General features: G+C 40.4%; 1 protein-coding gene across 14 annotated transcripts in view, besides 1 other annotated feature; it reads right to left on the minus strand.

Moving 5' to 3' along the window:
• Positions 1–16391, minus strand: part of CCDC92 (coiled-coil domain containing 92) — a 37206-nt gene that overhangs the window by 19465 nt on the left and 1350 nt on the right. For 2 of the 14 annotated variants that reach the window (XM_024449193.2, XM_024449196.2), the window contains exon 2: positions 1194–1354. The exons of 10 other annotated variants lie outside the window; for them this stretch is intronic. The gene's annotated coding sequence lies outside the window, so the exon portion shown is untranslated. Of the gene's footprint in view, positions 1–1193; positions 16330–16391 lie in introns of those variants that run through there. 2 more of the 14 variants (XM_005253624.3, XM_047429567.1) reach the window with 1 other exon arrangement.
• Positions 13693–14194: an enhancer, noted in NCBI's record as "NANOG hESC enhancer chr12:124453330-124453831 (GRCh37/hg19 assembly coordinates)". NCBI's record gives its function as "activates a minimal SCP1, AML or CMV promoter by ChIP-STARR-seq in primed H9 embryonic stem cells {active_cell/tissue: H9 hESC(primed)}" and the evidence as "EXISTENCE:reporter gene assay evidence [ECO:0000049][PMID:30033119]".

A 16391-nucleotide genomic window follows, 5' to 3' on the forward strand; every position in this document is an offset into this window, starting at 1 on the left:
TCACCCAAATAGCCTTGTTTCAAGAGCTAGAGCTAGTATCATTTTCAACTTAGTAGAAATGTCACTGGTACACTTCTAACAAGCTTGTCATTTACCAAGATGATCCTGAGCCAACAATTTAAGGACACAAATATCTCCTAAGTTACTACACAAACAGTTCTAGCTAGTGATACTTTCCTTTAATGGAAGGGGAAGTAAGCAGTTCATATCCAACTGGTCTTTCCATTTCCACCTCAGATTGAGATTACTGCCAATTTTAATTGTCTACTAGTTGATAACTAAAAGATACAGTGATCCCAAATGCCAAATCATCATTCATCCTAATGAAATAGGAAATACTTAATCTTAGCGCTTGATGACCACAATCTAAACCAAGGTCCTAGGCCAAGGAGATGTGTTCCCTTGCTTTAAAAATCTCAGTCTCTATGGTTTGCCAAACAGATGGACCAATTCACCTGACTTAACTGATAGGCCTTCTTTTATCCATTTGTGGGTCTGCCTAATTATAGTACAGGTTTTAAGGAAAGAAAGGTATTTAGTAATTGAAGCTCTATACACCTTTTTTTTTGGTGGGGGGGAGACAGGGTTTCTCTATGTTGCCCAGGCTTGACTCAAACTCCTGGCCTCAAGTGATCCTCCTGCTTCAGCCTCCTATGTAGCTGGGATTATAAATGCCAGACCCCTTACCTGGCTCTATCCACTTTAATTTAGCCATATTTTTCCTTTATTACTTACAAAAAGTAAAAGAGTCCATGGTTTCATTACCTATAACAGGCATCAGAGAAGATGACTGCCACTTATAAAGAGACGTTATCCTTGTGATGTGGTAGAAAGAGCTCTGCCCAGTCCCAGCCATGTCATCTTGGACAGTGTAAGAATTTAGCTATGCATCAAGCAAAAGCAAGCCAACTCTTCCAACTTGCCCGTCTATGAAAGGGGCCCACACTGATTCCTTCCAATGAGTTGAGACAGGGAGGACATTAGAGATCTTTGAAATTATTAAAATAGTCCAACAACAGTCACTTCAGTAAATAAAGTCACCATGACCAGGCATTTAATTTTAGTACTTACATACCTTCTGGTGATCAATAATCAGATATTTGTTGTTATTGAACATTTATTTATTTGGAATAACACAGCCTAAGTACCAATATTTTTAAAAGATAAACTTATATTTTTAAGAGGGCATTTACCATTTTCCTAGATCATTTCCTAGAGGTTTTTTTCTGTTTTGTTTTTTGATGGCTTCAGCACGTCCATGTAAGGGTGTTTGACCTCTGACTTTCCATCTAGTGATCTGAGAGCTCCAGCGTGGATTATTCAGTTCAAGCGTCCTCTCCGCAAACTTCCTGTGCTGCGTAGAATAGGTGAGGCACGCTTACTGACGGCATTTATGACTGACCCCCATAAAGTTCTTCCCACTCACAATCACTCTTTATTATGTCAGGGAACAAGAGAATTCCCAGAATCGTATGTTTCAGCTCTCTGGGAAATCACGCATTAAGTTCCAGGGGAAGGGAAAAGCTTCCCACAAAACAGCTATCCATTAAGAATGTCTGTTGTTTAAAATGCACCAGCAATTCTAACATCCAGAGACCAGTGAGAGAACGGTAGAAGGCAAATAGGTGTTACTTTAGGGCTGTCTTTGCAACCAAATTTTGATCATCGTAGATAAATGAGCCATTAGTGCATTAACCCAGTCAAAATAAATGAAAACAAATAATGACAAGTAAAATAAGGGGCAGGACAACTGTATTTCATAGATTATTTATCAGCTGTGGGAGGAGAGTGAAATAAATTGGGGAAGGTAGAAAATCACTACATCTGATATTCATTAGGATTTTTCAGAGAATGAGAGGCAATCCAGTATTTTCTTATTCTTACTGTCCTTGCCTTGTTAAAGGTCATCATTTTTCATTTGCACTTTTTCCATTTGTACAACTGACTTTGTTTTTTCCTCTTATATTTGACCTTGTGCCCCCATAATGGGGTTAATTATAATCCTTGGTTCATGACACACTCTTTAAGGGCCCACTTTCATTTAGATACTTTTACAAATAAGCACCCGATGTATCCAACATTTTTGGAACTTAGCAATTTTGGTTTAGAGTGCCCAGATTTTCCATTTGAAGTTCGAAATTCTTAGGTTGGATGTTTCAGCTTCTTCTGGTTGATCCAGCTCTGGTGAAGCCTACTGGCCAGTCAGGAGCCTGGAGAGTTTGACTTCCCAGTTTTCAGAATGCACAGGATGGTCACCTGAGGTCATACCTGGCAGCCACTGCCCTTGCTGGTTGTGGGGGAGTGTGAGGCAGCTTCCATCTTTGCAAGCAGCTGCTATGTGCACGCCCCACGATGCCTTTCAGTTGGTTCTGCCTGGCTTCTCAAGGGTGTGATCACTGCACTGTAAAGGGTGGTAACAGCAATCATGTTTGAGGATAACTGTCCTAACACATTCCCTGGGTCTAAGGCATCTGGGCAAGAAAATACTCAAGGACATTTGTTAATGAGAAGCTGAAAATCATTAATCAAAATAGTAATTATGACCATTATTTACCAAATTTCTATGCACCAGGCTTACGGATGATCACTTAATTCTTTTTTTTTCCTTCTTTTTTTTTTTTTTTTTTTTTTTTGAGATGGGGGGGTCTCGCTTTGTCGCCCAGGCTGGAGTGCAATGGTGTGATCTTGGCTCACTGCAACCTCCACCTCCCACGTTCAAGTGATTCTTGTGCCTCAGCCCCGAGTAGCTGGGATTACAGGCATGCACCACCACACCTGGCTAATTTTTGTATTTTTAGTAGACACGGAGTTTCGCCATGGCTGGTCTCGAATTCCTGACCTCAAGTGATCTGCCCACCTCGGCCTCTGAAAGTGCTGGGATTACAGATGTGAACCACCACTCTCGGCCTATTACTTAATTCTGAAAACAATCATGCAAGGTAGGTATGATTATACTCATTTTTTATTTTATTTTATTTTAGAGACAGAGTTTCACTCTTGTTGCCCAGGCTGGAGTGCAACGGCGTGATCTCAGCTCACCACAACCTCTGCCTCTCGAGTTCAAGCGATTCTCCTGCTTCAGCCTCCAGAGTAGCAGGGATGACAGGCATGCAATACCATGCCCGGCTAATTTTGTATTTTTAGTAGAGACGGGGTTTCTCCATGTTGGTCAGGCTGGTTTCAAACTCCCGACCTCAGGTGATCCTCCTGCCTCGGCCTCCCAAAGTGCTGGGATTACAGGCATGAGCCACCACGCCCGGCCAATTAAACCCATTTTTTAAAGAATGGAGGCTCAGATGAGTGAAGACACTTAACTAAACTTGCAAATCCTAAATGCATGAGCCAAATGCAGATTCTTTCCAAAGGCTGCCACCTCCTCTGCCTCGTGCCTTCCTGAAGTGCTCTCCAATTTCAAACTCAGGCTGTTTGGAACCACAGACTCTCATGGCAGCTCTGGGAGAGAAGGACGAGCTGCCTCCTCACATAAGTGGTCTGTTCTGCTGTGTCCTGTGCATTCTGGAACGTTTGGCCCAAGTGTGGCCGCTTGAGTGCAGTGGTAATGCTGCTGCTGACCTCCCTGGCGTCACTGACTGTGGCAGGTCCCGCTGAGGCTTTCCAGGCCTTGCCTCATTACATCCTCACACCGCTCTAGGATAGGGGAACTGAGGCGTAGAGAGCTTAATCTGCCTTATTGAGATCATACATAAACTTGGTATTTTTTTGGTGCTTTGTAGTTTCCTCTGCCCTTTTCAAGGAGGGGGAAATTGTGCCTATGACAGGCCTACATTTTTCCTGATCCTCTCGTCAGAATTCATGTTAGCTGACTTTAAAAGCATTCAATGACAAGATTTTCTGAAGAGGTAATGTTCTCTCCCTCGGTTGCACTCTGGTTGAAAGTGGATCACACAGATGAGCTGTACTGGATCCGCGAGCTATAGCGGCATAGCAGGGTAGGATTAACCCCCAGGCTCTGGATCCAGACCTCCACGGTTTGCATTCCAGTTCTGCCCTTCGTTAAGGATGCAGCCTTGGGCAAGTCACACGTAACTCCCGTGCCTTACTTCCTCATCTGCAAAATGGAAAAGCAGTATCTACACCTCATTAGGATGTGGGGGAAGATTGAGTTTATCTGAACAGATGCTGTCCAATGGAACTTTCTGTGATGATGTAAATATTCTATTCTCTGTTGTCCAATAAAGCAGCCACACCAAATGTCTGACTGCCAGGCTTGCTTTTTTTTTTGAGATGGAGTCTCACTTTGTTGACCAGGCTGGAGTGCAGTGGTGCAATCGCAACCTCGACCTCCTGGGTTTAAGCGATTCTCCTGCCTCAGTCTCCTGAGTAGCTGGGACTACCAGTGTGCACCACCACGCCCGGCTCATTTTTGTATTTTTAGTAGAGACAAGGTTTCACCATGTTGGCCAGGCTGGTTTCAAACTCCTGACCTCAACTGATCTGCCCGCCTTGGCCTCTCAAAGTGCTGGGATTACAGGTGTGAGCCACCGCATGCGGCCTTAGGTGCCAGGCTTATAGATGATCACTTAATTCTTGAAACAATCAGCAAGATAGGTATGATTATGCTGTTTTTAAAGAACTGAGGCTCAGAGATGTGACCACACTCTTCTGTAGCTGTTGCGGCCACATGTAGCTATTGAACACCTGAAATGTGGCTCATGTGTCTGAGAAATTTTTCATTTTTTGTTGGAATTAAAATGTACTGTCCCCATGAGGCTAGTGTCTACCATGTTGGGCAGCACAGATCTAAAGCATTTAGAACCATGGCTAGAGCTATGTGTTTACTATCATTGCTTCAATATGGAGAGTCATCCAAACAGGTTTCATTTGCTCCCAGATAAACTGTCATGGGACCTGCCGTGGCCAGTGCTCACCTTGTACTGCTGGAATAATTTAACAATTTTTTTCAACTGCCATCATCATCATGCCATTTTATGTCTTCGTAGCATTTATCACTATCTAAAGGTAGGTCGCTTATTTATCTTTCTTACCTTACTAGCATGTAAACTCCAGGAGAACAAGGACTTTTCTGTCTTGTTCCCTGCTATTTCCCAGCCACCTACAATAATGGTGCTTCTGGAAACCTGGGCTGGCCCTTTAAGAAAGGCTTCTTTCTAGGAGTTGCACATTAGTGGTGATCTCACTCAGCACCCTCCCCAACCCCATCATTAGGTACTATGCTGTATCTTGTATTAGTGAGCATCAGAGGGCTTGGAAAAATGTCTCTGATTGCCGTAATGGGAAAGCTCGCAAATAAAAAGAGTAAAAAATTATCAAGCCACCTAAAAATGTTCATTTCTGTGGAAAGGAAAATGTGGGCTTGCTCAGGACTTCCTGGAGTTTGTGACATACAGTATCTTCTCTGGTGCAGCTTACTGACACCTGGAAATTTATCTTATGAGCCAAGTATGTGAACTGTCAATGCTGAGCCTGTGACATGGCATTGAAGCTGAGATGTGGCCGTGTCGCATGTAAGCTCACGATTCAGATCATGCTTTCTGAGCTCCTCAGTGGCACTCAGCAGCTCAGAAATTCAGGGAACACCTGTCATGAGCTTGGATGACGCTTTTCTTGGTCTGTGACACAGTGAGAAAAACGAGGACAATGCAGTGAGTTTTCCATTAAGCTAACTTTATTAGAGTCAAAGGACAATTCTTTATTTTCATTTTAGAACTGCCAAATTTAAAAGTGCACTGTCCCATGAATTCCAAAGCCTAGTCGCCTAGCCACTCTAATCACCAGGACGTTATGGGGATCCCCAAGAGCTTAACGTCATCATTGATTTTGTTTTTTAATTTGCTTTTTAAAGTTTACAAGGCCTTTACAATAGGCCAGGCAATCGATTCTCCTTTTAAATATGCATCTGGAGGTGAAAGATCAAGCCAGCATATGTTTCTAAAGTGCTCACTGTGTACTCAGTCCTATGCTTACAATTTACTTGGGGATATGAGACTCAGCAACTAAAGTACAAAGAAAACAATGTATAATTAAATCCTCATGAGGCATCCGCCAAGTACAGGAGCCAGGGGAAGGCTGTCCATGAAGGGTGAAGGGCTGCCCATCCTAGCACTGGCAGCTCTTCTCTTATCTACCTGTCTCTCCTGCATCAGGCTGCATAAATCCTGGAAGACAGGGGCCGGCCTCAATTATTGTAGCATTCCTGGTACCTATCTGTTGCCAGACACATGGAGGTACCTAATAAATGAGTGAATAAGGACTGGAGTGAAAAAGGTTTTACTCTGAAGAGGTTGGAATTAAACTGAGCCTCAAAGGATGGGCAGAGTTGGGACAGGAGGAAGCATTTCTGGTGAAGTAAATATGAATTAAGTTTTAGAAGGAACATGAGACCATTAAACTATCTGATATGGAAAGATGATTCTGGGGAATGGTGGAAAATAAGGTTAGATAGAAAAGCTAGTGTCAGATTTAAGTTGTATATTAAAAGTTGCTCAGAAAAGTCGAGATGGAAAAGATAAGCAATGGGGAAAAGCTAAGTTTTTACTCAATAGAGGCAAAATCGCCACTTAAGGGAGTTTAGTCCGGCAGGGACGATGCAGGGTGAAGCAGACAGAAACTGCAGTAGCGACACAGCCTTTAGCTTCAGAGGAGAAGAATCAACATGGAATCACCTTTTACTGAGGGCTCAGTGCCAGGCGCCATGCTACGTACTTGATCAACACTCTAAGGAGCAGATATTCTTATCCTCAGTTCACACGTTGGCAAATAAGCTTGGAGGGTTAAATGACTTCCTTAAAGTCACACCTAGTAAGTGGCAGAGGTGGGGTCATCCCAAACCAGTCTGACTCCAAAGCCTATGCTCTCAACTAGATAATATACTGTCCCTAAAAGAAGACGAAATGCTGCAGCCCTCTAAAATATAAAAGTGCATATCCCGCACAGCCTGAACACCGTTTGGCCAATATTCCATTTGCTAAACATTCTCTTTTGCCCTTTTCTTTCCCCGTATTTTAAGCTGTAAGCTTCTCAGGTCTACTCTTTCGTGCCAGATGCTAATATAATTCCAGTGCTTATTCTTGATGCTGCTGCTTGTGGAAAAAAAAAATCAGAATAAGAGAAAATGCTTCCTCTCTCCTAAAGCTGCAGAAAAACAGATACTATTCTGGGTTAAAAAGCTAGTTCTCTTAAAGAGCTACAAGCTTACTCTGCTATTCTGTGTGGAAACATGTAAAAATGTACAATTGTGTTTTTATTACCAAACAAGTATTTTAAGACACCTGGGCTTTATAGATTGTTGCTGAATCCTTTAAAATACAGCTTTGAACTTCTAAATGTTTGCTTTTTAAATTGGTTGCCTTATTTACTAATTTATTAATAATACAATTTCATGTGATATCTTTTTTGAAGACAAACACTTTTAAGGTGTTCTGGTTAGCTGGATAAGGGGCTTGGGGTTCCTCTCTTGATACAGAAGACTAAAACAAATGCAGATACTGACAAATTCTTTATTCAAATGTAGTTTGAGTTTTTGCCTGCTTAAGTCAACAATTGATGCTGCGATTCAGAAGGCGGAACAGGATGGGGAGTAGAGAGAGGAAGGTGGCGACTCTGTGTGAGACATAACATAATCTGGCAGTGGCAACAGTAATCTTCATGTGGGTCTTACAGAGGAGCTGGCCTGCTTCTGCAGTCTGACTCTCACCTGCTGAGAACACCATCTACACGGTGTTTTTTTTTTCCCTCAGAGAATCTACAGTCATTGTTTTATGGCTGATGCAAGATATAGGTTTTTTTTTAAAAAATCTAAAGAACAGATGGAATTAGCGTGTAAGTTTTCTGATATGAGGCAAACTGTAAGCAGTCGGAATTAATGAAAGAACACGGGGTTCTCATTCTCCTGATGAATCTTGAGTTTGATCAAGTTGGAGCAGTGGTTCTCAGCTGGGACAGCTGTGCCCCCAGGGGGCATCTGGCGATGTCTGGAGATGCTTTGGGCTGTCATGAGCGTGTGGGTGGGTGCCACCAGCATCTAGTGGGCAGGGCCAGGGGTGCTGCTAAACAGACCATAACGCACAGGACAGCCCCACAACAAGGGCAATCTGGCCCCAAAGGTCAAGAGAGTTTTGGCTGAGAAACCCCCAGGGTTAGGGTCAATCTAATTTAAGGCAGGCCTTTTCTCCTCTTTGGACTTGAGGTTTATCCTGCTCTCTCTGGGTTTCTGGGATGGCTAGTAAACGCAGCGTATGGCACTTTTGGGAGGGCAAACTCTCACCACATGCAGCATCCCTCCCGTACCAGACAGCTGCTAACTCTGGAGAAAAAGGCAACCAGCAGGTGAGGGGACAATAGGAGCCTATCTGAGTGAGTTTCTTCCTTGTATCTTACACGCTCAGCGAGGCAGGAGTGCAGAAAGGGACTACTTAACCTGTTTAGCTAAAATGACTGGAACACTGGATCAGCATTTCCTTGCTTTCTTTTGCTTGGAAGAAAAAGGATTGCAAATAAACTCCAAATTGCCTAAGAATGTAGTAATTTTCTTCCTGTTTCTTGATAATGTGAGATTTTGCTTTTCTTCTATGAACGCTAAAGTGACCTGAGAAGTGAAGAGGGTGAGTGCAAGATAAATCTGGAATGCAATAGGGACTCCAGTGTTATGGTTATAAAGCTGCGTATTTCCACAGAAATTAAGTGGACACATTGCAGCTGAGCTAGGTGTGCAGTTTCCACAGGAGTACTCTATCTAATGCAGGCAGGAAATCTCCAGGAAACTTTGATGTTTAAAGGCTTTAATATTTCTTCAATGCAAAGAGCTTTGTTTTTAAGGACTTCACTAAATACGTAAACTTTACAAGAATTTTAGACTCCCAATAAATTTATGAAATCATGTCAAAACTCCTAATATTTTATATATACTAGCACTTTAAGAAAGCTTTCCAGGCGGGAGAAATGAAAGTACAGGTTCCATGGTCACCAGGAAACCCTGTTTACAAGAGCCATAATTTGAACTTTGTAATTTGCAGAAATATACTACAGAAATTGAAGTAATTAGTGCTGCGCTGGTAAATCTTAAAATGGTTTTCTACTTGGAAAAGGTCTCTCCCAAAATAAAAACAATTGCTCAGGTTATAAAAGCAGTTTAAAAATAAAGTTTAAACGTAACAGGTACAAACTGAAAAGTTATTTATCTTTTTTTTAAAAAAAGTGTCTGTATTAACAACAAGGAGGCTATTCCAATATAACACAGAAGACTACATAAATTATTCAAGTTCTTAGTACTTTTAAAGAAAATCCTTTCATATCTATTTTTGTGAATTTGGGGGTATAAGAGAAGGTTATGTCTTCTATATGGGGGGGTGATATAAATTATTACAGTTCATTCTTTCCATAAAGGAAGCATCTTTAAGCAGCTTTGAGCCAGACACTGTGGAGGACACTCAGAACACACCAACAAATAGAAGAGATAAAAATTCTGCCTTTGTGGAGCTAATATTTGGGAGTGGGGGTGGGGCACACAATTCATACAAAAAGTAGAATTTTTTCACAAAGGCTAAATTAAATGGAACTTCCTAAATTCTTGACACTTGCCTTACAGAACAGCTCAATGACTACCTACCACCATGATTTCAGAGTAGGTGAATCTAAACCTGAGTATACAAATTACAGGGAGCTGTAATTTAAGAAACTAGTATCTTTATAAATTGCTTTTTAAAAATTCCAGACAATATTATGACAACCAAGAGTCACTCTACTTCCATTAGCTGAATAATGTTTCAAGATATCACATTTCTGCCAATTTTAAATAACAATTGCATTATTTTTTAATGTAAATTTTGTTTTCTAAAGTTCCTAATTCCCTTTGTACCAGCAGAATAGTGAGGCAATTAGTTAATAATTTATATTTACCTAAAAACTGATAAAGAAATTAAAATTCAAATGGAAAAAACATCTCGTCACCTGACAATCCCCACGGATGAGCTGCTGGGTCTTTTTTTGAATACTGGGTCTTTTTTTTAAATACTTGTTCTTAAAGCTCAAATTATGATGGTAAAATCAATTGACGTATTAGGACACCTGATATGTTTGATAACATTTGAAAACTACAATTTTAAATCGCTAAATATATTGCCAGTTAAATATACTGTTTGGAATGACGTGTGTGCTTGTACGTGTGCATCGAGATATAGTGAGGTCTATCAATAAACACTTGTGTATAACTGAGGAGACAAGACTAACCACTCACAGAAAAGCAAATTGATCTTTGGGATGCAATCTCTTCTCAATAAAGAGGAATCTTGATTCATCTTGACCTCTGTATATTCTGTCCAGAAGTCAAAGTTTATCGCTCTCACTGGAGTATGAAGTCCTGCTTTTCTTTCTCACTTTTTCCTGTCTTGACTATGGACAATTGTGAAAACAGTGAGGGCTGCACGCTCTTGGAGGAGCTTACATTTCTCACGGCCCTCATGTAACCCATGTTGGGCTGTTTTGGAAATATACTTCCTTTGGTGAATAACACGGTCAAGGTTATCTATGGTCAGTCATCTTTCTCAGACTGAACAGTCCCTTATGGTGGCTCTTTCCCACACTGTCCCTGTCCTAGATCAGGCCCCACATCGTAGAAGGGACTCTAAAGACTGTCAGGGTTTCAGAGAGCCTCTTGGTAGCTCCAAAGTGCCTTCATCTTGCTCCAGTGTCCCATGGCCTGGTACACACCAACAAGAAGGGATGCCAGGGAAAATCATATGTGGGTGGCATGCTCCAAATTTACCAGTGTAGCTCATCAGCACTGTGTGAGTTGTTTGACCCGTCCATTCATGTTGTGGGAAGTAGCCATAAAGACAACGAGAGCAGCTTATCTACGGATGGGGCTGTAGGGTGGGAGGCAGGCATTTATAAGCATATTCACATTAGTTTTATTCAAATGAGAAAAAATGGGTTTTCATGTGAATGCTTTAGTAATTTCACTGGGTATAGAAGATGCATGCAAAGGCTAACACAATGACTGTCAAAAAGACTTCTGAAATATTTTATTTCCAGATTTGGTACATTAAGTGTGTCTATTTGTAACAGGAGTCCATCATTTCCAGATTGGATTGTAAATAAAGCTGTAAAGCCCTACACATTCATCAATGCCTTCACTGTCTTGTCCACAATCAGAAGAGGTGGTAAAATGTCCAAATGGAACTCTGAAAAATAACCTAGCCAGGAATTTTCAGAAACTGGACTGAAGTGGCTGGATTCCCTACCTATAAATGTAACCATGAGAGTTGTGACAAACAAAAATCTGGGATCTTCACCTAAAAAACTGAGTAGGCTTCAGAGGCTTCTGGTTACATCCCCAATGGTAGGACATTCCATGTGAGAGGAAGCTGTGTTCTTTTGAGAAATAGCTAAGTCTTGCACACTGATGGAAAGCACTGATGAGGGTGTCAGTGCATCTCATTCCCAGGTTCACTCTGCAGTTCAGCAGTCCAAACATCACTTCAACCTTCCTTCAAGGGACTCTAAAGTTCTGCTTGCTACTAACCTGCCGAGGATTCCCAGTTTCTTCAGTAGGAACATGCTGGCCCCAACGACTTCACACCTTCTAACTAAACTCAGTTTTCCTCTAAACACAGGAATGGCTAATTTGCTGCTTTCCACTTAAATTTCAGACTCAAGATGGTCACTGCACAGGCAGGTCCCGCTGGCATCCTGAGACTACTTGGAAAGGCACTCTGCTCTAACCACAGCCTGCTAATGAGTAACATTCAGTGCAGTGTTCTAGAATTAGCCAGTCGTCATCCAAAGCTCTGAGTTCCATCCTGCAAAAAGGGATGAGACACAAGAACCTCCAAATAGACAGCTGTCAACCTATCTCCAAGGTCTCAAGTCTAGCTTTGTTTCTACTTGGATATTTATTTTGTCTCTCCCCTAAAAACCTGCCTTTGCCCTCAAACAATATGGTTTGGCTTTGTTCACCTCTGAACTGGGTCCTGATACCACAGTCTTACTGTACTAATAAACTTGTCAAAAACTGACTTGACCGCTTTATTGATGGAAAGCAATTCCTCACTTGAAATCACATTGCAGAGGCTGAGGAGGATTACACATCCTTCCTCCCCCGAGAGCAATAGGGCATGTCAATGAGCAAGTACCTTAATGCCAGAAAGCTGCTGCTCTATTCTACTAGAACGTTCTGGTCTTGTCATAGGGACTCAACCAGAAGATAAAGATGACTCAGTATCAGATACTGACCTTCCTTGAAAATGACAGGCCAAACCTAATAACTTCTGCTATGTTCTTATCTATGGGAACACAAAACTGAGCGAAAAACTCCAACCTTTCTCCATCTTTCTTATCAATGTGCAAGATTTGGCTATTTTTAAAAAGTGTATCTGCTCTCCCACGCTACTAGCCACCGAGGCAGAAACACTAGCAGTGCCTTTCATCTGGGTTGATGTGTGTGACAGCCGAAGAGAAAGGAGTTACAAAAAGCCTCCTTCAATGTTTAAGGTATGGCACGAGCCTAACCTCTTACGTTCACTTATCATTAGAAAAATATGGAGAGCCTAAGATAATTATGCTATGTATGACAGAGATGGAACTTTCTCTTGGGAACCCAGTGTTTTTACGTGTCCTCTGCATTATATCGAAGATGATCTTTTCAGAGTATGATGCCACGGATTTCTAGGTAAAATGTGCAACTTTAAGAAAGACAGTATTGTAATAATATTGAGAATGACAATTTACATGTAGTGTTTAATGCTTAAACAATGTTACCTAAGAACATGGGCTTTAATGACTTCTCATAAACTCTCTTACCTGCATAGTAAATGAGAAGGGCACAGGATGCATTTAGAAATGGACTGGGGAGGAAATCTGAAGAGCAAAGGATAATGGATTTTATGCAGACCTAAATTTAGTATCTTAAGTGTTGCCAAAGAGGCAACAAAAAGAAAATTTGTAGAAGCAGAGTATTATGTGCCTCATATTCCATTTATTAAAAGTTTTCTTCTGTCGTTTTTTTCCCCTTTTTATAAGCAGCTTACTCAGGCTTGCTCTATTTGGTGCTAACCAATGGAAGTTCACTGCTCAGTCTTGAGAATTCAGCTAGAATAAAGAATTTCAGAAACAAGGAGAAAACTTACTCCTTCACAGAAGAGTAGACACTTCTTGCTTCGTAGTAAAGTTCTTTCTGATAAAGCAGTAAATTGGGAATAATCATGAAAGTATTGATCTCGGTCGGCTCTCCAGTGTGGAAATTTGCATGTAAACTGTTTTCTGATTAACAAAGAAGTCTTTAAAGATGTTTGTGTGATCCCTTCAGAAGTCATGGTTAAAGCTTTAAAGTGCAACCTTTAACCTTGAAAATGCTGCTTTCTAACTTGCCTTATTTGCTAATTTGTTGTCCTGGTAATAATATTTAAGTAGTATCTGTGATTTTTTTTCCTGAAAAAATAAACACTTTTAAAGTTTTATTTCTTGGTTGGCCAGAAAAACTTGATATTCGTCTCTTTTCCCTTCATGCATACAGCATAAATAAATGGTATATTCCTTGTTCAAAGTTTGAGGAGTCTTAGTCACTTATCACACCCAAAGTCAGCTAATGGGTAAGAGACACAAAAGCATGACACAAACTCATCTGCTACAGAATGAGAGAGAGTAACTATTTTAAAAGACATTTAAAAAGTGAAAAGCATGAGACAAACTCATCTGCTAGAGAACAAGACAGAGTAACTATTTTAAAAGACGTTTAAAAAGTTAAAAGCATGAAACAAACTCATCTGCTAGAGAACGAGAGAGTAACTACTTTAAAAGACATTTAAAAAGTTAAGTCCATGCAAACATTAATTCAGAATTGTTTTTTCCTCTTCTTCCTAAAATGGAGAGGTCAGATCTTGGTTTAACTCAATCGGCCTCATTACTGACTTGCTGCACTTCAATCCTTGTGTATTGGGCACTCTGGTGTTCACAGGCAACTCTGCTCTGCTTCTTAGCCACAGACTGGAGTCCCCACCTCATTGACCCACTTAATACATGTATTAGATTGACACTCAGTAGCCGAATCTTTATTATAATAGATAAATCCTTATTCCCATTGCTGATAAAACCATCATTCTCAAGATTGGTTTCATACAAATAGGGCACATGTCTTTCTTCTTCAAACACAAAGCTCCAATTCCCCTAAGCTTTTCGGCTTGCTGTAATTCTACTTCTTGGCTTTGTTTTACCTTCAGCTGCCAGCATATTTTAAAAACCATGCAGACATACTGAAAAAACATCCAATGCAACTTAATGTAGGTGGATATGACTGGACTTTTTGCTGTGAAACTTGAGTCATGTTTGAGTAATGAAATAAACAAACTAAAATGCGGAGCAAGCACAAGAATCATCTCTTATATCATCTCTTATTCAGTTTTTTTTTTTTTTTTTTTTTTTTTTGAGACGGAGTCTCCATCTGTTGCCAGGCTGGAGTGCAGTGGCGTGATCTGGGCTCACTGCAACCTCTGCCTCCTGGGTTCAAGCGATTCTCCTGCCTCAGCCTCCCGAGTAGCTGGGACTACTGCGCCACCACGACCAGCTAATTTTTGTATTTTTAGTAGAGATGGGGTTTCACCATGTTGCTCAGGATGGTCTTGATCTCTTGACCTCGTGATCTGCCCGCCTCGGCCTCAGGAGTGAGCCACTGCCCCCGGCCTTATTCAGTATCTTTTAAAACATGTTTTCAGCCAAGTAAAAGAACGATTCACCTTCATAATTTGCTGGCTCTCCAAAGGATGACTGGCACCATCCCATTTTTTAAAAACAGCTTTAAAAAAAGTCTTTTCTGCTTGCCTTCCTAGAAAAGGGTAATTTTCCTCTTGATTCAATGTTTATTGTAGAAAATAAAGTTAAAGAAAGAAATACAAATCATGTATAATTAAAAAGAGTCTTTTAAAACACATTGAATTCGAGAGTGCTTTATTCCCTGTAATGTGCCATACAAATGCAAAGCACGACTAAGAATCATCTTCGATAGCAGGTGGGTCTTTAATCTACTAAAAAATCTTCCTAGGGTTCATGTAGGTGTCTGCGGATGTTGCTACGTCCACAACTCTAGAAGCCAGCATAAGAAAACAAAAAACAAAAGCCACAGTGCTAAAAGGGAAGTACAGAAGTCCTCGAATATAGTTGCCATCGGAATACCCAGGAGTCCCTCTCAGAAAGACCCTCCTATACCTCTGTGATACCTCCTAATAGCCATTCACGCCAAGTGGGGAACCAGCTGATCCCAAAAGCCCCTAGGGAAGGAGCAGCCCCTTCTTTCCACCGCTAGTTCTCACCATAAACAACTTTTGCCTTCATATAGAAGTGAAATCTGTTTTTCTGTACTCAATAATTACTCAAAATAAATGAAATCCCTTGCTGCATGACAGACCTTCAAATATTTGAAGACAATTAGGACACAGCCACTTCCGTGCCCAAATCCTTCTGCAGGTTGAAACATCAAAGCTGAAGATGTGGAAACTGGTGTCATTAAGTTAGCACCTACCTAGCCGGGATGAAACTTCAATCTGACTCAAACATTTACTGCAACATTGGTGTGTGAAGATACAAAGTCACCTAGTCACTGCCCTTGAAGGACATGGAATTCAGTAAATTCAGTAGATATAATTAATCTTAGTTACCAAATGTGTGCCCACTATGTATTAGAAACTATTTATGGCTGACCTTGTTCCAGATAGAAGGAAAAAAGTTCCATGACTTTTCTTGCCAGAAATACGAGAAAATGCTTTTTTAACATAAGTATTTTTTAAAAGCATCAACATTTTATTAACGTTAGTATCGTTGCAAAGGCATCCTACCAATTAGGTAATTATGTTGAGATCAATTTATCCAAAGATAATTGGATAAGTTGAGATCAATTTATCCAATTTTGCAATTTATCCAACATGGCAGATGAAAGAGTTATAAACCCAAGATGAATGATTCGTTTTTTAAAGAGTTAATAAAAATATCTAATTTCAAAAAAACCCTATTTGTTAGACCGATGTATTTAAAATGTGTCACAGTAAAAATCTCACACAAATAATTGTCCTGTACTTTAGATCTTAAATGTACCTAAACTAAATTTACTGAGTAATTATAATACGCAGAGGAGTAACAAAACTATTTTAAGATTTTTCAGTGGTGTGTATGGATATGTACGCATACCCGTATATATAATCACGAGTTTTAAAGCCTTCTTCCAAGCATATTTCACATAAGATGAACAGTTAGCCAAAAGAATTACATACATTTCAAAACATCTTTGGAGGTAAAAGCCACTTTAAACGTTAGCATCTTTTTCCTTACAATGCAATAGCGAGAAAATGCATGGGAATTCTTGATGAGCAAAAAAAAAAAAAAAGAAAAGTCGTTTTATCAATACCAATGCTCTTTAAATAAATTTCAAA

Source organism: Homo sapiens, chromosome 12 (assembly GCF_000001405.40).
Source record: "Homo sapiens chromosome 12, GRCh38.p14 Primary Assembly".
Taxonomy (NCBI): Eukaryota; Metazoa; Chordata; class Mammalia; order Primates; family Hominidae; genus Homo; species Homo sapiens.